At 33.4% G+C, this 25,497-nt stretch overlaps 1 annotated feature.

Annotated features, from left to right (window-relative positions):
* Nucleotides 1,297–2,496: an enhancer, noted in NCBI's record as "MED14-independent group 3 enhancer chr10:82937375-82938574 (GRCh37/hg19 assembly coordinates)". NCBI's record gives its function as "activates an origin of replication core promoter dependent on BRD2, BRD4, P300/CBP and CDK7 cofactors, and independent of MED14, by STARR-seq in HCT116 cells {active_cell/tissue: HCT116}" and the evidence as "EXISTENCE:reporter gene assay evidence [ECO:0000049][PMID:35650434]".

Genomic DNA, 25,497 nt, shown 5'->3' with positions numbered 1-25,497 from the left:
TTTTATTTTTAAATTGAATGCTAATTTTGCATTGTATGCCATCCATTTTAGACGCCATGGATGTTATCTTCCTTCAGAAAAGCTTAACCCTGCCCTCTAGATGGCAGTACAGCAGCAGATCATCTCAATGGAGCCACAAATTTAGCTCATTCAAGGCTGCTCTGCAGCCTTTGAAAGGACATATTTATTTCTGTTTTCCCCTACTCCTACTAAGTGACCTTCCAGGAGTCCAGCGAGTGTTTCTGAGGGCCCCTTCTTTTTTTCTGAGTTCTGAATTCAAATATCTGTCTTCCTTGCACCGTGACATTGCCAAAAATTATTCTCTTTTTTTATGCTCCTTTGTGTTTGGCTATTTTGTCACTTGCCCTTTGAAGCTTAATTACAAATGACTAAAGGAGAAAATCTATGTTAAGTATTGTTCTCACTTGCCTGCAGTTGCCTTCTCTATCAGATCTTGGCCTTCTAAATTCTGGTTGTTTTGGCAGCCCCAAAATGCAATTTTTTTTTGTCTCGCAACTCCGTAGGTTGCCTAAAGCTCTATTAGCTTCTCTATCCCTTAGCACTGCTCTACACCTAGCTCCTTACCCTCTTGCCTGTGATAAGATTTGGATAACGCCTTGAGAGATTCTCATTAGCATACAGGAAGTTGGTTTATCTCAATAAGCTTCTCTCCAGGATATGGCTTCTCAACTCCTGGCTGCCTTGCCAGCTCAAAGCTGATGCCTTTAAACAGATTACTAAAAACAAACAAACCTATTTTATGCAGCTTTTCTAGCTGTCTTCAGTGGGGCCTTAGTCTCCTCCAATCTATTTGATTATGGCTGAAAACATAAGTCCATCAGAGTATTTGTATTTTGCTTGTATTTCAAACCCCATAAAACATCATGAGTATTATTTTTAATAGTAAACATTCATTTTATATTTACCCTTCCCATTATTTTTCTTCCTTCCTGTATTTCTTTGTTTCTATTTGGGATCCTACTTTCTTCTGCCTCGAAAATATTTTTTAATGTCTCTTTTAATGTAGTTCTGCTGATAATAAATTCTATCAGCTTTTATTGATTTGAAAATGCCTTTTTCACATTAAATTGGAAGAATATATTATTTGGGTATTAAATTGTATGCCTACAGTTATTTTCTTTTGGGACTTTATATATCTCATTTCTTGTGGCTCATGCTCTTTTCACTGTGTAATTGGCTGTATGTCCTTTGTTGACGTTTGAAGACAATCTGACATTTTTCTTTAAATGGTTCTAAAATTTTTCAATATTTTTTATTTTCAGCAATTTGGCTACGATATGCCTTAGTAGGATTTTCTTTGTAATTACCCTGCCTTTTTTTTTTGTTTCAGCTCATTGACTCTATGACTTTATATCTTTTATCAGATTTTAAAAATTCTTAACCATAATCTCTCCCAAATATTATCTCTCTTTTTGCCTTGTGGGTATCCAATAGATAAGAAAACTTATCAGTATATTCCACCTAAGATATTATAGTCATTATTATATTTTTTGACTCTTTTTTCTCCATGTCTTACTTTGAAGAAGTCCTAATGCCCTATTTTCCGGAATACAAATCTTCTCTTTAGCTATAAATAACCTGCTATTAATCCTATATATTGTATTAATAATTTTATTTGTCATAGTTTTCAATTCTATAGTTCTTCATCCTGTCATTTATTTTTCTGAACATATTTATCAGTTGTTATCTTAAAAATATATATCTGACAACCTTGTGAATCTGTTTTTATTGTCTGTTTTAACTTATTCTTGTTAATTAGTTTTCCAGGTAAGTTTACTGGTTCCTGTAGAAAGTAGAAAAGTTCCTCTTCAAAGCTCATCTTGATTTAAAAATAAAATAATAGACAGTAGGAATAATAGCTTCTTACTCTAAAGCCTTCTATCAACTATCAGTTCTTATACTTTAGCCCAATTAGTTGCTTTGGCTTACTCAGGCGTGTCCAGACAGGCCCAGGCAAGTCTTAGCTCATAGCTGATGCTCCTTCCTTATTTGGAAATGTTATTGCTTCCTTAAACCTTTCATAAGCAACTTCCTCTCCTTCTTTGTTTGCACTTACCTATTTAGGAAAGTTTCAGGTTGTTAGCAAATCGGGTATCAGTTTAGGACTGTGAGGTCCAGCTCCAGCCAATGGATGCAGGACACAGAAGTAAGGACAACCAAAATGCTTAAGGGATAAATATGTCTGCTTTTCCTTTGTTCAAATGTGCTCTCGCTACTGTTCCATCTGTGAAGGGCACCCTTTCTGCAGAAAGTAAAGATTGCCTTGCTGAGAGATCCTTTGTCTCTGTGCTGACTTTTCTTCGTGGCACCGATTATCTGTTTCCAACAGTTCCTAAACATTGTGTATTAAAAAATAAGAGATTACAGATAACGTATTTTTCCAGCAATTTTCTGTACATATTAGCAGGCTATTAAAGTGAAAGTAGATCATTTTTCTACAACCAAACTTGGTTTTAAGCTTTGTAAGTTCTAGTTTCTTTCTGATTTACCCTCAGTTTTACAGTGTGATCTTTCAGGGACCTCAAGTGAAAGCCTGGAAATACTCCACCTGAGAGTGCTCTAAGTTCCAAGTTTCTATTTTTGACAGTGGAAAGAGACTGCTAAGAGCTGAAATTAGGAACTTAAACTTATATTAGTGTTGGTTTTGAGGATGTTTTAAGAAGAGAAGCCATGGACGTTTAGCTGCCCAGAGAGCTTTCCTTTTCTCTGAGATCTTGGCGTCTCAAATCCTAGCTACCTTGAAGATACCATCAAGAAAATTTGTTGTTTTTAAAACTAGCTTTCCATTAATCTTCTGAAGAATGGTTGATCTATTATATACAGCTAGTGCATCATAGCCATAGGCTCATTGCTTCTTTTTGAAAAAGCCATTGTATAACTTCTTTTCATTGTTGTTCTTCAATATCATCATACTTTACATTTTAAAATGCTTTATGGAAAATATTTTCAATATTTAATTCATTATCCCTCATTATTGTCAAAGTGTACTCTACATGGTAACCATGCTATGATTGTACTATGTATGTGTAAAAAATGTTCTTGATCTTAGGAAATAGAAATTAAAGTTTTCCAAGCATATTAGCTGCTACTTTTTCATCACTCTCTCCTCTCCTCTTGGTCTTCTGGAAATAATATTCTGGAAAATACACACCGACACATATACGTGTGTATACACACACACACACACACACACACACATATACATATATGTATATATGTAGAGTAATCCCTCAGTATCAGCAGGGCATTGGTTTCAGGACCCACCACTTGAGGATACCAAAATTCACAGACGCTTAAGTTCCTTATATAAAATGGCATAGTGTTTGCATATAATCTATGCCCATCCACCCTTATATTTTAAATCACCTCTAGATTACATACAATACCTAGTACAATGTAAATTCTATGTAAAAGTTGTTATACTGTATTGTTTTAAAAAATAAGAAGAAAAATAGTCTACATGTTCGGTGCAGTTATTCTTTTTTTTTTAATCCCCTAAGTTTTTATCTATGGTTCATTGAAATCTAAACTATATCTAAAATATAATTATTAATATATTAACTATTTGATACATTAATGTTATGCAATTAATTATGGCATATAATTAAAAATAACATTATATTAGTTTTTGGAAAACATGTATAGAGGGAAGCCATTATAGTTGTTATATAATTGAATTATATTATTTACATATAGATAGGACATAATATATTATAATTAAATACTAACATATAGTATCAGTATCCTGAAAAAATATTAAACATATATACATAGAAAGAGCATGCACAAAGTAAAAAAGTGGGATAAAAATTAATAATGGAAAGATCTGTGCACTGTCTTCAAAATTTTTCTGTGTAAAATTATATCTAAAAAACTGGGGAAAATATTATATTTGTCTATACTTTAGATTTTTTAATGTAAAAAATTGACTTTGTGGAGGTGAGATCTGATATGTAAGTAATATTCATGGAAGCAGTATGTTTAAAAATTTATTTTATTAAAAAGTTAAGTTTCCAGACGAGTGCAGTGGCTCACACCTGTAATCCCAGCACTTTGGGAGGCCGAGGCGAGCAGATCACGAGGTCAGGAGTTTGAGACCAGCCTGACCAACATGGTGAAACCCCATCTCTACTAAAAATACAAAAATTAGCCGCGCATGGTGGTGTGTGCCTATAATCCCAGCTACTCAGGAGGCTGAGGCAGGAGAATGGCATGAACCTGGGAGGCGGAGGTTGCAGTGAGCCAAGACCGCACCATTGCACTCCAGCCTGGGCGACAGAGCAAGACTCCATCTCAAAAAAAAAAAAAAAAAAAAAAAAAAAAGTTAAGTTATAAATGGGGAATCTTTTTCAAACAGATGATTTAAATTACTTTCTATTAGATTAAATTAATTGTTCATTTTGCCTTGAATTGTTTCCGTCTTATTTCTTTAAACAGCTACCATTGTCTCACTAATACATTGTAGACACAACACTTAAAATTAAGCCTGCTATTGACTCAGGCCAAGTCAGTTTATGCTCAGCTTGAAATTAACATATTCTGTTTCATTATGTCCATTTGCAGACTTAATGAACATGTTTCTTTTTCACAAATAATTTCTTAAACTAATTCAGTTTCATCTTCTGTTTATTAATTTTTCAATAACTATTAATTGTGGGAACATTATAGCACATTAATAGTAAAATGAATAAAGCAAAAATTCCTATAACCCCCTAAAAACCGTTTTACATCTTCATTTCAGTTTCCTTACAGAGTCTTCAAAATGCTCACTGTTTGTTGATGCATAATGTCCCATCAGGTTGTTGCTCCGTAGTTTACTTAACAACTTTCCTTTGCTGGGCATTAGGTTGGCTTACAATTTTTAACAATCATGAATAATATCTCACTGATTTTGATGCAACCTACATGAATAAAATATAATTTGAAATCTTTGTAAATATGCCTCTCTTGGGAAAAAGCGCACATTCTTCTTCCTTTACTAATATTCTTATAACATTAAAACATGGTGTGCTGGAAATGATGGATGGACAATTTTGCTGCACCTCAGAAAAGCTCTCAGCATACTGAGGTCAGTGTAGAAAAAGAAAACTGTTAATACAGGCTTTATTTTGTTGTTATAATGTGTTGGTATTCATTGTAATTGAGGTGTAACTTAACATATCACATTATATATGCATCTCCAATATTATATATCTCATATTTAATGAGGGATTTTACACATATTTAATGAGGGATTTTACACACCTCATATTTAATGAGGGATTTTATATATCTCATATTTAATGAGGGATTTTACACACCTGGAAAATGAGTCCAAGCATTGTTTGAGAAATTTTGAGCAATGTAGTTGAATAAAAATAACCCAAACCCTGGCCGGGCATGGTGGCTCACACCTGTAATCCCAGCAATTTGGGAGGCCCAGGCGGGAGGATCACCTGAGGTCAGGAGTTTGAGACCAGCCTGACCAACATGGTGAAATCCCATCTCTACTAAAAATACAAAAATTAGCCAGGTGTGGTGGCAGGCACCTGTAATCCCAGCCACCAAGGAAGGTAAGGCAGGAGAATCACTTGAACCCGGGAGGCGGAGGTTGCAGTGAGCCGAGATCACGCCATTGCACTCCAGCCTGGGGGAGAAAAGCGAGACTTCGTCTAAAAAAAAAAAAAAACCCTAAGCCCTTCACAGATACTTCAAGGCCTATCACTATGTGACCAGGTGTGTGGCCTTCTGCCAACACCTAAAAAGTTGCCTTGATTACCATCTTTCCAAAGGGTGTGCCTATATGTATTCAGGCTTCCAAGGCATGCTCAAATAAGTGATGTTTCTTTAACAAACAGACATGAGAGCTCTCTGTTCCCTAATTCTTCGTGTTTTATACTTCTCTATATTATCCCTCACTGAGTCCTTACATGAGGACATGTACACTCATATATGTGCATTCACATGATTTCAAGTATTGTTTGTATATACCATGAGACACGACTACCAAAATTCTACCTTGGGCTAGTATCTCAGTACTATTATTAATATTCCTTCTTACTATTATTTCTTACTATCCCTGAGTTTCTGATACTATTAACCTTTTTACTCAGTGATGGACAGAGACTTCCCTTTCCCATGGCCCAAAACTTCATAGACACTAGGCTGCCACATTTGCTAGTGTTCATCAAAATTCAGAAATAACAGCATAAGATTTCTCACAGTAATTAACTACAAATTAATTATTATGCTGGACTCCATTTGACATCCACAGTCTCCTGAAACTCTTAAAAGCCTTCCCTTGCCCTGCCCATAGGGTGTCTTGATTGGGTAGATGTCATTTTATTCCCACAACCCATGTGTGTCCTCAGCATCCTTAGGCTTCTTGGAACCTACCTCAGAGACAATAAGCCAAAGGAAAAAGAATAAATTTCTTCTTGGATTTGCATTGTGATGCAAACAAATCAATTTTTTTAAATGAAACAATTAGATGAATTTGAAACTGATTATGTATTTGATGAGATTAAGAAATTATTTGTTTTAGGTATAATGATTGTTATTGTTATGTTTAAAAGGAGGGAGTATTTGTCTTCTAGAAGTATACACTGAAACATTTATTGAAGAAATTATGTAACATTAGGGAATTGCTTTAAAAAATACAATCAGGGCTGGGCGCAGTGGCTCACACCTGTAATCCCAGCACTTTGGGAGGCCAAGGCGGGTGGATCACCTGAGGTCGAGACCAGCCTGGCCAACATAGTGAAACTCCGTCTCTACTAAAAGTACAAAAATTAGCCGGGCATGGTGGCAGGCACCTGTAGTCCTGGCTACTCAGAAGGCTGAGACAGGAGAATCACTTGAACCCGGGAGGCAGAAGTTGCAGTGAGCCGAAACCGTGCCACTGCACTCCAGCCTGGGGGACAAGAGCAAGACTCCGTCTCAAAAACAAAAAAACAAAAACAATAGGGGTAAGAGAGAATGAGTCGGGGTTTATATAGGTGAAACTAGAGTGTTAAATGCTGATAATATTCGAACCTGGAAAATGCCTATATGGGGGTTTATTATATTATACAGTATTTATTTATTCATTTATTTTTACTAAGGTACATGGCATCTCCATTCAGATGCCTTATTTTCCTTTAATTAAAAAAGAAAGATGAACGAAAGAATAAAAGAAAGAAGGAGAGAAAGCAAGCTGTATTTTATAAATTTTCATAATAAAATTATTTCTTAAACTATTTTTATCTAGTCTCATCAGTCTTTGTTTCTTGTAACAAGAGCTGCCTCCTTCTAAATTAATTGGCACATATAGACTGTTGTTAGTGGAAGCACCATTACCCATGGAGAGTGGCCTTGTTCTGGTTCCAATAATACAATCAAATCAGGAAAAAATGAATCTGCATATTGTATGTGAGCACAGTTTTTGGAAATTAACTGCCTGGTTTTAAATCCTATTCTACCACTAGCCAGCTGCCAGCACTTGAGAAAATTCACTTAAATACTCCTCATATTTAAAAGAAGAATATTAAAAATCACTGTATCTAATGGTTGTTGTCTTAAGTGAAGTAATCCATGTAAAGTGTTTTGCATAATATATGGAACATAGTAAATTTTAAATGTTAAAAGTCAAATTGAACGAAAAAATCACATATTAATATGTTTGTGAAAGTTCACATCATTTCATCTTAGATAGCACATGTGCTGCGTCAGCATCACAGTACAGAGAAATCTCTCTAAATCAAGCTCATTTCCTTTTAATAATCAATACCCCAGTAGGATATCAAAGCCATTTCTGCTCATCCATCCTGCAACTTCAGAATTCTTGGTATTTGATTTCTTGTGAGTCACCTTCTGAACCAGAACGCGTATATATCCACATAGACAAGAAATAGATGCAGGTCAGGCACAGACTAAATGGTGCTTACAAAAGAAACATTTCTCCAAATAAAAGATGGTGAGATTCAAGACTGTCTACAATATACATTACTAGGTCTCAAACATTTTTGCTGAAGACAATAGATTTTTTTCCTTATTTTTACGGAAATAAATACCGCTTCCATAGTTTTTCAAGAGTAATTAAATAGCCTGCATAATGATCGTATTCTATGCAAGAGTAACTAAATAGCCTGCATAATGATCGTATTCTATGTGAAACATACTGAAGAATGTAAAGTGGCAATTGATAGGTTGTGTACAATATTTATTCCACTTTCAAGTTCTTAGGATCAAATTTTAGCCAAGATTGCAGCTCTTCCTATTTTTTATTTCTTCAGTTACCCACAATAAGCTTTGTATAAAGCTCAGTAATGAAAATTTAGCTAAGGGATCATGGCATAGCAGATGTGTTTTCCCTGGACCTTCCTTTTTCACCTTTTCCAGATTCTCCAAGAATCTGTTATTTCCCGAACACTATTCTTCATAAATGTAGATATAGTTGTAAGTGAGGTATAGGTATAAGTATAAAAGGTAAAAATAAGTTTTAGGGTATAGGCAATGAAGGATGTATATATTCACAACTAAAAGAAAAATCAATTGTTAAGCATATACCACTTTGTATGAGTTATCTAATTCAATTTTATCGGTGACTACTCACTATATTAACACTGCGATGCATAACTATTCTTCATTCTTATGGAGACGTCAATCTAATTATAGGTATCTTTTCACTTTCTTTGAATACTCATGGATTCAATGTCTCATTTTTAAAAAAAAAACTTATCTATTTGAAGAACGCAATATGAGTAGAGAAGACATAATTTAATGACACAGCAATGAGTTAAAATGAGATGTTATTAAGTTACTTCAAATAATCTTTCAAGAATTTCTACACAGTAGTGATAGTCACCATTGCAAAAAAAAAATCTTGTGCTTGGATTGTTGCAATTCTCATATATTCTACATCTTGGCTGAAAATACAAGTCTATTTTTTATTATCTTGGTACATAATTTATATGAGAATTACCTGTGGAGCTTAAATTTTACACCATTGTTACTTTTGAACACTGAGTTTTAAAAACGACTACCAGGGACATATTTTTCAGTTACAGTTACTCATAACAGTATCCGAGTAATAGAAAATATATAGTAGAAAATTGCAGAAAAATATCAAAAACATGACTCAATTTTATGTGTGTATATATACTTACACATGTATTAAAAGCTCTGCTGAAGCACATGAAAGACTTGAATAAAAAGGAAGATATGTCACAGCAATAGATGATTTGGCCTATCATTGCAAACATTGCAATATCAAACTAATATATAAACTAATCATTTTATGATGTTTTATTAAAATTTTATTGAATAGTTTAGAAACCAAATGCAACTGTTTTGAAAGAATAATGGTCTACAAATAGCTAAGATAATTGGAAAAGAGAAATAAAGAGGGAGTACTTGTCCCATCTGACGATACAACACATACAGACCAGTAACTTCACCTCAACCTGCGGTGCTGTCACTGAAAGGTACATAAAATAAATCAGTGGAACAGAATAGGTATCTCAGAAACAGACTGATGTATACTAAATAGTAGATATATTACACAAGTAGCATTAACAAATCACTGAAATAATGCAAGATATTTTTAATGTTTTGTTTAAAAAAAAACTTGGATAACAATATAAGAAAAAAATAAAGTTAGATCTCTCACACCGAATACCAAAAAGTAAAGATGTAAAACTACATGGATTACAAAAGAAAAACTAGAAAAACACCTTTATAATTAGAGGAAAGGGCATAATCTTTTAAGCAAGGGGAGGAATGATGACTTTACATCAGATTTGAAGTGTTTAATTCAAAAACACCATAGACATAGTTAAGTATGGGATAGCAAATTTAGAGACAATATCTCAGTGTTTGAAACTAACATGAAATAAAATTTAAAATGTTCATTATTCTTGATACAGCAGACCAAGATAACAAACTATATGAAAATAAGAAAAGGAATAAAAACAGAAACTCCGAGGTTAAGAAATCCAAAGGCTAATAATCATATGAATGATTCATCTGTAATAACATTCTGAGAAATACAAATTAAGATAAGAATGAGGCTCTACAACTTTGATAATGCCAAAATTAAGAAATTAAAATAACAGATGATAAAATAATGTAAAATTCAATTGTTAGCAAGGACATGAGGAAACAGGAATTCAAATGCACTTCTGGTAGGAATGCAAACTGGTACAGAAGGGGAAAGCAATCAGTGCCTACTAATGACAGTTATCCCAATCACATTCTAGGAATCCTTTTATCTCTAAGAAGTTCTCTCAAGGACCTATAAAGGAAAATACACAAGGAGGTAAATTGCAACAAGGAGTTTTTTATAATGTGGCATATTTATTCACTATTAAATATATGACATTCAGAGTGGATTTCCACAGGTTTTTAAAAGATAAAATTGAGTTTATCAAATAAACAAAAGAAAAAATATGTAAAACAATACCACTTGTAAAATTAAACCCACACATGCACATAAACAAACACATACATTTAAAAAAACCATTACAAATAGCAAACTAAAACCAAAGCAAATAGAATATAGGAAATGATAAACATTAGAGCTGAAACAAATAAAATCTTAAAAATAGATAAAATCAGCAAAGGCAAAGGTTGGTTTATCTAAAAGAGCAACAAAATTGGAAAACCTTTAGCTAGACTAAGAAAAAGAGAAAATATTTAAATTATTAAAATGAAGAATAAAAGAGAAGCTATTACAATCAACTTTATAGAAATAAAAGGATTGTAAGGGAAATACTATAAAAAATTTATGCTAACAAATTAAATAACCCAGATGAAAAGTACAAATTTCTAGGAAAATACAAATGATCAAAATGAACTCAAGAAGAAACAGAAAATCTGAAAAACACTTCTCAGTACATTCTATGAGGTCATTATTACCCTGATACTGAAACCAGACAAAAAACTCATGATAAAAGAAAACTGCAGATGAACATTCCTTGTAAATACAGACACAAAAGTTTTCAATAAAATACTAGCAATTAGAATCTGGCAACAAATCAAAAGGATTATACACTATGAACAAGAGGGATTCATTCCAGGAATGCAACATACAAAAAATAATCAAGGTGACATCACCTTAATAGAATAAAGAACAAATACCTTCACGTGATCATCCAAAGAGATGTAGAAAATGCATTTGACAAAAGCCTTTCATGACAAAACCACTCAACAAATTAGAAATAGATGGAAACTTCCTCAAACAAAAAAGAAGCATCTCTAAAAAAGATAACCACTAGATAATTAATGGTGAAAAGTGAATATTATCACTCTAAGATGAGAAATGGTACAGAGATGCCCACACTCACCACTATACTTAACATAATACTGAAGGCTGTAGCTAGGGCAATTAAGCAAGAAAAAATAATAAGTGATGTCCATATAGGAAAAGAAGAAGTAAAGGAATGTCTGTTTGCAGATGGCAACGTATCGTATATAGAAAATCCTAAGACATTAAAAAATACTATTAGAGCTATTAAATGAGTTCGGGCACATGGCAGAATACAGAGTCAGTATATAAAAATCAATTGTATTTCTATACATTCGCAAGGAACAATTCAAAAATGAAATTAAGAGACAATTCCATTTACAATAGTATCTAACAGAATAAACTACTTATTGATAAATTGAACAACAAAAGCATAAAACTAGTATACTGAAACTACGAATCATCATTGGAAGATATTGAAGAAAACTTACATAAATGGAGACATTCTATTTTCATGGATAGGAAGATATAATGTTGTTAAGATGGTAATACATGCCAAATTTATCTACAGATTCAACACAATCACAATTACATTTCCAGCTGGCGTCTGTCAAGAAATTGACAGGCTGATCTTAAAATTCATGTGGAAATAAAAGGGACTCAGAATAGCCAAAAGATTCTTGAAAAAAGAACAAGGTAAGGAAATATACACTTCCTGGTTACAAAACTTACTGTAAGCTATGTTAATCAAGACTGTGTGGTACTGCCATAAGGATAAACACGTGGAATAGAATTTGAAGTTCAGAAATAAACCATCTATTTTTTGGCAATCCAAAAAAATGAAGTTTGACCTCCTTCCCCCACACATGTACAAAAATTAATTCCAAATAAAATGAGTCAAATAGCTAAACATTAACAATGGAAAACTTGTAGTAGAAAACATACATGTACATCTTTGTGATCTTGGATTAGGGAATACTTTATTAGATTTGACACCTGAAGCACAAGCAACAAAAGGAAAAAAAAATAGACACATTGGACCAAATCTAAATTAAATACTTGTGTGCTACAAAGGATACCATCCAAAAACTGAAAATTAAACCTAGATAACAAGGGAAAATATATGAAAATTAGATAGACAGATGATAGATAGATAGATAGATGATAGATAGATAGATAGATAGATAGATAGATAGATAGATGATAGATAGATAGATAGATCCAAAATATATTTCTACAAACCTGTTACGACTCAATAATGAAAACAGAAATAACTTAGTTTAAAAATGGGCACAGAATTTGAATAGACATCCATCCAAGAAAGATACACAACTGGCTAATAAGGGCTTGCAAAAGGTACATAACATAAATATTCATTAGGGAAATGCAAATCAAAACCACAATAAGATGCTACTTTCACACCCATTAGTATGACAATAATCAAAAACACAGAAAATAGCAAGTGTTGACAAGGTTTGGAGAAATTAGAACCCCAATAAATTGCTGGTGGAAGTGTAAAAATATACAGCCACTTTGGAACATAGCTGGATAATCCCTCAAAAATTGAAATGTACAGTTACCAGATAGTCTAGCAATTCCACTCCTATGTATATATCCAAGAAAACTGAAAACATATATCTACACAAAACATGTACATGAATATTCCTAATGGCAGTATTTTATAATAGCCCAAAAAGTAGACACAATCCAAATGCTCATCAACTGAGGAATAGATAAACAAAGTATGATAAATCAAATCAATGAAATATTATTCATTCCTAAAAATAAAACAGCTGATACCTGCTACAGTATGGATAAACCCTGAAAACGTTCTGTTAAAATGCTTATGAAAGAAGCCAGATGCAAAAGGCCGCTATTGTGTTATTCCATTTAGTCATTCTGAAATGTCCAGAATAGGCAAATCTATAAAAACAAAAAGTGGATTCAGGGTTCCCAGGAGATGAGCAGGAAGGAAGAATGGGAAATGACTGCTAAAGACTGGATTTCCTTTTGAGGTGCTGATTGAACAGCCTTTTGAATATCTTTAACAACACTTACTTGTACACTTTACAAGGGAAGACTTCATTGTATGTGAGTTATATCTCAATAAATAAAAGCAAAAATATTTTTCACACATATTAAAATAAATAATTGGAAGTTAGATTTGAAGTACAGATAATAAAACCATTGGAGCAATTTACCCATTTTGGGAAAGAGACATAGAGTATGGAGGTACAAAGTTGAAAAATTACATTTTCTTCCTTCTCATTGGTAGTTTCCACGTCTTTTAAAACAACTAGATTTTAGGGAAAATGCTCAATGTCTAAGATGGGGAGCAGTATTTCTGATATCATAAGCTAGAAATTACCATGCCTGTACCAAAATATCTCATATAGCCCATAAATATATCCACCTACTATGTACTCACAAAAAATTTTTAATAATAAAAAAGAAATTATTCATGAGTGAACAATATTTCCTAATGATGACGAATATATATATTGATATAAAATGTCTTTTAGACAAAACATCTCTATCTTAAACTTTGTTAAGATAACATTTTAGTTTGTTAAGATAACATACTAAGTTTGTTAAGATAACACACTAAGTTTGTTAAGATAACATTTTAATTATCACTTATGTTTTAACTAGCACAGTCAATATTAACACTTTTTGCTATGGCAAAGTTTTAACTAAAGCCTGGTATGGTGGTATACACCTATAGTCTCAGCTACTCTGGGGCTGTAGTGGAAGAATCACTTGATCCCAGGAGTTCGAGGACAACTTGAGCAACATAGTGAGATCTTGTCTCTAAAAATAAATAAATAAATAAATAAATAAAAGTTTTAACAAAGTATATTTTAGAAGAGTTTCATAAAAGGCATAATTATAAGCGCTTGTCCAAAATGCAGATCCATTTAGGAAGACGATCAATAAGAATACTTCATTTCCTAGAACTTTCTACCCAAAATTTTAGATCTATTTATTATAATTCTATTAAGTGTTTCTGAATAGTAATTAGCTGATTTTTTAATCTTTTCAAGTCATCTGGAAAATTCTTCATTCTTTTTAAAAGGCAAAGAAAAAAATCACTAACATTATAACAAAATAGTCTGTGTTCATTTTCAGCCACTATAAAAGAATATAGCAAACTGGATAATTTTTAAGTAAACTAAGTTTATTTGGCTCATGGTTCTGGAGACTGAGAAGTCCAAGACTGAGTGGCCACATCTAGTGAGGGCTTCCTTGCTGTGTCATAACACGGCAGAAGGGTAAGTAAGCATGCGGGAGACAGAGAGAAATAGGCCCAAACTTGTCTTTTGTATCAAGAACCCACTTCAATAACTAATTGACTCCCATGATAAGGCATTAATACATTCATGAGGGCAAAGCCTTCATGACTTAATCATCTTTTAAAGTCCCTACCTCCCAATACCATTATATTGGCAATTAAATTTCACCATGTTTTAGGGGAACATTCAAACCATAGCAGGCTTCCTGCCAAAGTAGTTATATTTATTTTGTAAAATATATGGAAGTGAAAAGGTCATGAGTGACAAAATACAAATACCATATTTTATGAGATGAGTCTTGGTGTGGCTTGGTGAAATGTGGCACATGTATCAAGATATTCAAGTAAACATCCACTGAAGAGCAAACATATGCAGTCATTTGAGAGAACTGCGTCCAATCAAAGGAAAGAGTGGATAACAACAACAAAAAAAAAGTTCAAGGGAGTCCCACCAACAGGCAGAACTAGAAAGTCATTATGCAGAATAGGGTAGATTTGGAAGACAAGAGTTCAGTAGATGGGAGCAGTACAAGAGGAGGGAATGTCAAATAGGAATACAACATGGTGAAAAAGTAAAGGTCACGCCTGTAATCCCAGCACTTTGGGAGGCCGAGGCGAGCGGATCACTTAAGGTGAGGAGTTGGTGAACAGCCCGGCCAACATAGTGAAACCCTGTCTCTACTAAAAATACAAAATAATAATAATAATAATAACAATTAGCCGGTGTTGTGGCACACACCTGTAATCTCAGCTACTCAGGAGGATGAGGCAGGAGAATCGCTTGAACCTGGGAGGCAGAGTTTGCAGTCAGCTGAGATCGCGTCACTGCACTCCAGCCTGGTGACAGAGCGAGACCCCGTCTCAAAAAAAAAAAAAAAAATAGTAAAGGTAATAATAGGTAGTAAAAGGAAAGTGTAGTGACTATCTAAATTCTAAAGCAGTACTGTCATGGTTCAACTCACTTTGATTATGGAAACATTCATAATCTGATCTGTCCAATGGAGCAGCCACTAACACATGGCTAATGAACTTGTGGCTAGTGCGACTGAGTTAACTAAGTTTTGAATTTTCTTTGATTTTAATTAATTTAAATTTAAAGAGACACACGTGGCAATTAAAATAGGCTCTTGTATAAGGCAGCACAGATGTAGAATGGTCGGAGTTAAAAAGCACACAGTCTCTTCAAACAACAAAAAACATTGTTATTAGCTGTTCTTTATGTATGTTCTCACCCTGTGAGGTTCTCTACACTCACGTTTTGTAAGAAAACCCTAAAAGTTTCAGACAATTTGGAAGCGGAAAGAACATGAAAACTGAGTATATGTAATCCACGCATTAAAATAATTTGGCTTAATTCTCAATAAATTTCAGCATACCAATGGATAACCCTGGTCTTATAAGTATTTAGAAATATTGAAGATCTTTAAGTAGGTATAATAATCAGATTTTTATGTAAGCGATCATTCTTTTTGCAATGTAGAGAAGCAGCAAATTCCTTGAGTAAAAAGTCTAGTTTTCCTCAGATCAGTATTGATCCATATCCAGTCTATAAAGTAAAGGCACCTATCTCTGATAAGTCCTCAAACAATTTCAATTGACCTATGGTCTACCATTCCCCAAATGAGACTCCTTGCATCCATCATGTGATTATGGCATCGCATACTGTAGAATTACCATCATGGGCTGCACTTCTCAAAAAGCCAAAATACTCAGACTTTACTCTCATATTTAATGAGCCAGGTACATTGTATTATCTTTCTTCTGTAGCTAGAAATATGTAAATATCCCTAAACCATGATGCTATTTATATTTATGATTAAGTAAATATGTCGAGATTAAATTACAATATGCCTGAAAGAAAACTCCATTAGCAAAATAATTTTCAAAACCTTGATTATCATTATGAGAACCTGAATTTATCATGTAGGATTTAAATACATGCACAAGGTGGGCACGGTGGCTGACGCCTGTAATCCCAGCACTTGGGAGGCCAAGGCAGGTGGATGACTTGAGGTCAAGAGTTCAAGACCCGCTTGGCCAACATGGTAAAACCCCATCTCTACTAAAAGATACAAAAATTAGCCAGGCATGGTGGCACACGCCTGTAATCCCAGCTACTTAGGAGGCTGAGGCAGGAGAATCACTTGAACCCACGATGCGGAGGTTGCAGTGAGCCAAAATCACACCACTGCACTCCAGCCTGGGTAACAGAGCAAGACTCTGTCTCTAAATAAATAAATAAACATTCAAAAAGAAAATAAACTTTCAAGAGCTTAAAATCCTGTACAAAAGAAGGTGAGTATTAATTTTTATTACAAAAAATAAAAAGATTATAGACATATGTTTGTAAATGGCTCATGATTTCTAATGTGGCCTCTTCAACTTTGGCACTCATTATTCTACAGAAGAATCTTAAAACACAAGGTACTGATGAATGCAGTGACCAAGAAGTTAACCAGTGTGTGAGTAATTGTGGAATCTCCTTTGATTCAGATTGACAAATGCGTGTGTAGATTTCACCTCATGGTACGACTAAGTTTTTCTTATTTTAAGAAACAGTGCTGGGAAAGCTGGATTCACATCCAAAAAAATGAAGTTTGACCTCCTACCCCCACACATGTACAAAAATTAATTCCAAATAAAATAAGTCAAATAGCTAAATAGAAATAAATAACTCTCACAAAACATAATGTGGAAGTTTGCACCTCTGAACGTGTCTGTGCCTCATTCATGCACGCGAGAACCATGGCTTCGACAACTTGGGAAACTCTCCTCTAACTCTGCTGGGGCACATTTTGTGGTGGGACTCTCCACTCTGACCTGCTTTACTCTGAATTTTCGGCAACATCCGTAGCCTAACTCTTCATGAAGCTTAGAAGACAAAAGAGATCTGTAGTATTGAAGGAAAAATAAGATACATGAATCTTTGCCAATAGATAATTTTAACATTGAAAAGAGCATACTACAGTTTAGGATCCTATTTTTAATTAATCAACGTACATTTTACCTATTCTATTTTTTTCCCTGGCTTTCAATTCCATCGCATTTCCATGTATCCATAGCAATTTCTTCCTCTTGTTTTCTTTAGTTGACTTTTAAAAATCAATTACATTTTCTAATTCTTGAGTTTAAACTTTAGGTCATTTATGCTAACTCATTTAGTTTATTAAAGAAATGATTTACTACTATTAATTCACCTCAACACATAATTGAGCATCTTTTAATAATCATCAACTGTGTCTGTTCTCGTAATTATCTAAACATTCTTTAATTCAATTTGTCATAGTCTCCTTGACATGAGTATTATTTTCTAGTTCTGTTGTAGTCAATATAATTTTTCATTATATCGTTATTTTCTTTTTTAGTACTACAGTTAGATAATATGGCTTACAAATTATAATTATTTTGTATGTGTACCTTAGTGACTGAATTTTTAGAAATCCTTAAATATACTCCATTGTTTCTTGAAAATAAGGCATATTTCCTGTTAATAGAATATAAAATATATCTATTACCTAAGTCTTACTATATTATTCAAATATTCTTTATTTCTAGTTTACCTTTCTGTGTTTGCTTTGTCAAGCTCTGATTCTGACTTTATGACTATATCGAAATCAATTTCTCTATGTTTTCTTTCCAAAATATATTTTTTGATTGCTAAAAAATAAATGAATTGATTAATTTACTTGTCAACAGACAGAATATGGGCCTAGACCCCCACTCTCTGTTCATTTGTGTGATGAATAAATCCTCCCTTCAGGTCTGAATCAGAGGTCCAGCTCCCCAATTGAGTCAGTTCCCAGCACATTTGGCCAAGTACCTGTATTATTCTGCTATTCAGAGTAGTACTGTCTCTTGATCCATTTCATGGGCCTCTTGTGTGCTAAGATGTCCATCCTTGAAAAAATTCAAGCATACTCAGTAATTTTATTGCTCTGTTAACTTTTAAAAACTGGGACAAAAACATGGTTTTGTTCATTATCTCTAAATGTGACTATTCCAGTAAATGTGATGGTTCCATGCAAAACCTGATTTGCTGCACTTTTTCCAATACACCCTGCTGTATACAACAGTGATTTAATTAACAAACATAAGTACAATTACAAAAATAATGAATTGGAAACACAATTCTAGCATTCTGTCTTTTAATGAGTTGGAATACATCAATCCTTGTACATACTTGCAGTGCCAGGATTGAAAGTGCTATTAAATGAGGAAACCAAAAGTGAACATGGGGAAAAGACATCAGCAGGATACACAGTATGACCACTTCTTATTTTTCCTCCTCAATAAAATCTAGCTACCATTTCCCTGTTCATCTGGGCCTCTTTCAGGAATCAACCTTGACTCACTCAAATGATGCACAGTCAAACATGATGAGAGAGGCTGTTAGATAACAATTACTGAACCCTAAAGAGCTCTATGTTGACTAAGCTCACAAAAAAAGAATGCTTTCAAATAAAACATGTAAATGGAATTACCTTAACTTAGAGACTCACATAGATACATGTGAGAATGCCTGTTCAGTTACATTAGGCTAAGTGTAAAGACCTGTCTGATCAGCAAGAGCTTACATTAAAATGATTTTGTTCTATATTTAAACGAGACCAAATGACTGATGCAAACTTTGGCAAGTTTATTCTAGACTTCACACTGCTCATTTTGAATTTTAGAAAAATAATTAAACCAAAACCTGTCTCCACTGGGAAAATAATGTTTGTAAGGAAAATGAAAGGTTTTTCAAATGGTATAAAAAACATCAGACTCTGCATTTCTATATTTACTCGACTAAACAATGCTGTCTTCATATTTGCTCACTGGCCATGCTATGAATGTCCCATCCTGTCCATAACAATGAACTGAACCATCTTACCAGGGCTATTTCTGCTATCTGTTGTATTAATTCCATCCCCTTCATCTCCTCTGGCATGTTCCTTCATGAAGTAGCTTAATTTTTGACAGAGCAATCCTATTAGAAGTAATTTTCCCCGCAGCCTACAATAAGCATAACTGTATTAGGTCTTTTAAAAAACATCAAGACTTCCTTTCTACACACAATCTGGTAATCTGTCCACAGCCCTGAATAATAGATTTCTTAAACTTTTATTTGTCATAGTGGCAAAAAAAGAAAAAGAAAATCATGCATCAGCTAATGTTTGGGTTATTCTTCCTGCAGAATTCTATAACAATTACCTCCTTTATGAAAATGATACAAAGGACAGCTGAGCACGGTGGCTCACGCCTGTAATCCCAGCATTTTGGGAGGCCGAGGCAGATGGATCACCTGAGGTCAGGAGTTCGAGACCAGCCTGGCCAACATGATGAAACCCTGTCTCTACTAAAAATACAAAAACTTAGCTGGGCATGGTGGCGGGTGCCTGTAATCCCAGCTACTCAGGAGGCTGAGGCAGGAGAATCACTTGAACCCAGGAGGAGGAGGTTGCAGTGAGCTGAGATCACGCCATTGCACCCCAGCTTGGGCAATAAAGCAAAACTCCCTCAGAAAAAAAACAAAAAACAAAAAAACAGAAACAAAGCACAGCTGACTATGTTTAAGCTAGACAGTACATATATTTTTATTTAAATTGCATTGCAAATGAGAAAAATATCTACCATACATTAACATACATTAAATACACTCAGTACAAATATAACTCCTAGCATAAATATAGTATGCAATATAATATGAAGTGTATCTAGGTGTTCAGAATGAATAGATGTGTACACATACCAATATACACATGTGTATATAATATGTATAATTTAAAGTATTTCACACTTCTGTTCATTTATTCTATAAAATAATATTTATCAAATGTGTACTGTGTGCCAAGCATTATTCCAGGTGCTGAGAATAACCAGTGAACAAAACAGACAATCTTGCTCTTTTAGTGTTTATAGACTAGTGAAAGAGGAAACATATTAAGCATTATAATATAATAAGTAAACACATTAACAGTAAGTTAGAAAGGCATAAATGCAGGGTAAGCAGTATGGAAGTTTAAAATTTTAAATATGAGAATCAGTTTAGGCCTAGTTGAGGGGGCAACATTTGAGATAACTATAGTTAGACCCTCAGTCTTCAGAGAGAGTCAAAAGAAAAAATAATACAATGAGTGATAAAGGTCTCTTTCTTCCTTTCATTATGTCTCTTTTAGGAGACTGTGAGTCAGAATGGTATTACTCCCACATTTTAGACATCCCTACGTAAGTCATTGGCTGATGTATAATTGTGTGTCTCTTTATCTTCCACATGGTGAGATGCTGACAGCTCTGAAATTATGGCAATTGATAAGGGGTGACAGGCAGGCATAGTTGTGTGAGTTCTGGTTGGCCAGCCCTGAACAGGCATGTGCTGACCATGGCTGAGATGCTATCAGAAGTCCACTTTATATAAACTGGCTTCTCTGTGTGTGAAAAAATGATGCTACCAATTTGAACACCAAGAAGCTCTTCAAAATTCTAATGTAGTCCTTCCTTAGGACTGGCAAGTTTGGGGAAACCTTCCTCCACACCCCCCCAACATCAAGCAGACAGATTCTGGCTGGCCAGCCTGCACAGACAAAAAGCTTACACTGTAGCCTCAATAGGAGACAAGATTCTTCCCCTAATGCTAGACTTCGATCTTGATTGTTTCATGAAATTAAATACTGTAAACAAGGCATTTTATTCAAATAATTCAAATATACTTCAATTACAGGAAATATATTAATATAATTAATCACATCAAATGCTCACATAAGAAAAAGTTTATGGTCAATACTATAAATGCTGTGAAGAGATCTGCAAAAATTCACACTTTATTGATGGCCAGAAGATGGCTCAACTCATTTAGCAACAATCTTCAGAGTTTTGGCCAGCAAAAGTACTTCTTGCTCTCACCTGAGTGAGAAAGGGTGTTTAAACCCATTCATGCCTGAGGTTGCAATTGTTTGAATTTTTGCAATCAGACCTTGGCAGTGACCTTGAGCAGTAGGATATAAATAACTCCCACATGCTTAGCGTTCCAATAATGGAACACTAGGCATAAATTGGAAGACACCTGTCACAGCAGTTCTATCCATTATCTCTCATTTAATGAGTGTAGGTATTCTACTACTGTGAATTTCCAAGTGTCTGTATGCCTTATTTTCCTTGTGTTTCAGACACAAACAGCAATAACAATAGTTTCTCATTTCCATTCCAGGCTTATTCTTCACTTGGTTTTCGCAGTTAAAAGGCTGTATCCTCTGAGAGTCTTGACTTCTGATGTGATAACTAAACTCACCTAACTGTGTATTCCCTATAGCTCTTAGTCCTCAATAGGTACTCAAATCCTGACTTTTGTGACAATACTGTCCTTTCATCTTACTTTTACAAGCTATGAAGCCATCCCTAAATGACATACTTAGAATAGCCCAGTTTGAACATGACATGAATGGAAATATTCTCTACGGATTTTTTCATGTGTTGCTTTTTTGGCTCAACATTCAGTTTCTTGGATTCAAACTTGTTGTTTGAGCTATTTATTTTATATTTATTTGACTTGTTTGTAATATTCCACAGGCAGCAATTTACTTGCCCATTTGAATGTTTAGGATAGTTAAATTCTTTCTAGTTTGGAGTTAAGAAAAATGGTGCTATGAACATTCTTCTGCATATTTTCCTGGTGAAAATGTGCATATATTTCTTTACAGCATCTGATAGAAACAGACTTGCTGAGCCATAGAATATGAGTAGTTTCTAAATCACTCATGTCATACTGTTTCACAAATGTACACATTTATACTCTGATAGCAGTATGTGAGAACTCCCATATCTCCATGTACCTGCCACCACCACTTGTTAGTGTCAAAATTATAGCTTTTGCCAATATAGTATGTATTGTTCTGAATTGTGATTGTAATGTTCAAATCCCTGATTATTAATGATTACTTTCATATATATATTGGTTTGGATTTCCTATTACAGTTTGTTCAAATTGTAGTTCTTTTTCCTACTGAGTTATCTCTTTTCCTTTGATTTGTAGGACTTCTACAGTTGTGATGACTTTCAATGATTCAACACTAAGTTTGAAGCTTGCTCTATATTTTATTGGCATACACTTACATTGAAAGGACTTTTTGAGGCCCAAATATGCTAAATTATCTATTATAAAAGGCTGTTGAAATTATCAAGTGCTTTTTTGATAACCATTAAAATTTTCATATATTTCTATTCTCTGTGATCTGTTAATGTTTTGACTGATATTAATTAGTTTCCAATCTTAAACAAACCTTGCATTCTGGGTATAAACTTATCTTAGAAACTCATTTTTCATATACTGCTAAATGGCACATTGCTAATATTTTGTTTAGGAATATTCATATATATATATCCATGAGTAAAAATTTAATGTATTTTTTGCATATCTTGTATATTTTTAAATTTTTGTGACAGGTTATGATAGTGTCATGGATTGAGTTTTGGAATGTTTTCTCTTGATCTATTTATTGAAGGAATTTGTTTGATATGGAGAATCATCTTTGAAAAATTGGCAAAATTTGCTAAGGAAACTATCTGAGACCTAAGTTTTTATTTAAAAAATACTTCACTTCTTTCTCAATGCAGTTAATGATAATATGATGATTTCTTTTTTATTTATTCTTGAGTTAATATTTATCTTGTATACATGCATAGTTAACCATAAATTTTTACCTTATTAGCATAATATATTTATATTATCTTAATTTCTAAATTACCCGCAGTGATGCCTTTTTTTATTACTGATATTATGCTTTCTCTTTCTTCATCTTCTCACTAGAGATGCACCAACTTTATTTATCTTTACAATTAACCAAGTTTTTGCTTTGTTTATCCTGTTATATATTTACTTACTTTTACATTAATTTCTAATATTATTTTCTTCCTTCTATCTTTCTTCACTGTTCTTTCTCAAGCTTCTTGAGAGGAATGCTTCGCTCAATTATCTTTAGCCTTTCTTTCCTAACATAATTAAGGTTGTAAAGGTTCCACTAATTATGGCTTTATTTTTTTGTTTTTATAGATATTCTTTTTATAATAAATTAATTTTAAATATATTCTAATTTCCATTATGGTTTTTCTGGACTCATATATTTCATAAATTCCAAATACATGGGGTTTTTCTAGCTGGCTTTGCTTATTTTTTTATAGAATAATACAACTACAGCCAAAGAACATAATTTATATGATTTCATCTTTTAAAAATTCTTGAAATTGCTCTGTCATCAGACATATGGTCAGTTGGCTTGGCATATAACTCATATGTAATTTAAAAGCTATTTTCCTTCAGTTTTGGGGTGCAGTATTTTATAAAGGCCAATTCAATTGAGTTATTGGTTAGATTTAACAAATCTCCTATATGCTTATAAATTTTTTAATCTATATGTGCTGTCTAAACTGCCACAGTTGCATTAACTCTCTCACTGTGATTTTGGATTTATCAATTTTCTGTTTTATTTATTTTAATTTACTTCTATACACTATAAGGCTATATTATCGGGTACATTAATTAGACATATTTGTCGCCCCATCTCTATTCTCTTTACCCACCATTTTTGTCTGTTTTCTCCCTGTGGCGATGTAGCCTGGCAGTACCTTGTCTGTCTACATGACAGATCTTTTAATTTCCACTACTAGGCTTCTCTTTATGCCACCAAATAGCTTATCTCTAGCAGCTCTTAAGCCATTCTGGTGCATAGGAAAACTTGAAAGTAAATAAAGTTAAAATCTCAGAGTAATCTTTTGACAAAAGGTCACAAGAGGAAATTTTCACATATCAAAGACTATTACTAACTAGTTTTTTCTTCCTGGACAGAGCAATGATTTTAATATAGTGTAATTTCATTAACTCCATCACACCTTATATATAATTTCTCATGTATTTTAATTTTCTATGTATATGTATATATTATATGTAATGTAAATTTCCTCCAAATTTTAACCTATCTACATTTATATCTATAGACCCATGATATATAGATATAAAGCAATTCCACTAAAAATCCCAAACTTTTTTGGTGAAACTTGACAAGCTGATCTGAATTTATTTGCACATGTAAGATGCCAAGAATAGCCAAGCAATTCTTGCAAAAGCATATGTTGGGAGAACTCAAACTGTAGCAATTAAAACATTATGTTATAGGTGCAAAAGTAGATAAATAGCAAGCAAACTGATGGAAGAGAGTGGAGAGCCCTGAAAAAGATCTGTACGTAATAGCAAGCAGAAGGCACACGGCAGATCACTGGGGGTGGAAGTGGGGGTGAAGACAGGGGGAGTAGCCTTTTAGGATTATTAGGGTTATTATTAATGAATTATTTTTGAGATAAAAATTGTATATCTTCTTACACCAGGTACATAACCGAACTTTTTCATGTGTATTAGAAAATAAAATGTGAAAAGAAACACTATACAACTCTTACATGAGTATACAAAATGTGCTGATTCATTAACAGTAACAGTAATTTAGCAGGTAGATTAGGAGTAATAAAATATACTTTTTTCTGCTGAGTGACATAGAGCAAAATGTTCCTGTGGTATTCATGGGATGGAATCATAAAGTCCAGTCCATAAAATGTTAAATCTCTATAATCTGAAAAGCAATAAAACTGACTATTTTTATTTGCACCTTTAGGGACGTAGAAGCAAACATATATCCACTGAAAAGCATGTTAACTTCATCAAAGCTGTAGGCTATTCCCTGGAGGAGAATAAATCTTGTGAGGAAACAAAACAAAGAATCCATTAGTAATACCCAGAAATTTAGAATGTGGAAATATAAAAGATAAATTTGGTAGCAGTGACCATTAAAAAGCAATTATTTTAAATTTATAGTACTTTCCTGTAATATATATGTTTCTCATTTGAAATAGTAAGTAATATATTCTCTATATTAATTAATAATGGTTGCTGTGAGTTGATGAAAATTGTTTCAAAGAATATGTGATCATTTATTAAATTGTTTTAAGTTAGGCAGTTATT

Source organism: Homo sapiens, chromosome 10, assembly GCF_000001405.40.
Source record: "Homo sapiens chromosome 10, GRCh38.p14 Primary Assembly".
In the NCBI taxonomy this organism is placed as follows: domain Eukaryota; kingdom Metazoa; phylum Chordata; class Mammalia; order Primates; family Hominidae; genus Homo; species Homo sapiens.
The sequence above is the reverse complement of the archived record's forward strand: the minus strand, read 5'-3'. Positions and strand labels throughout refer to the sequence as shown.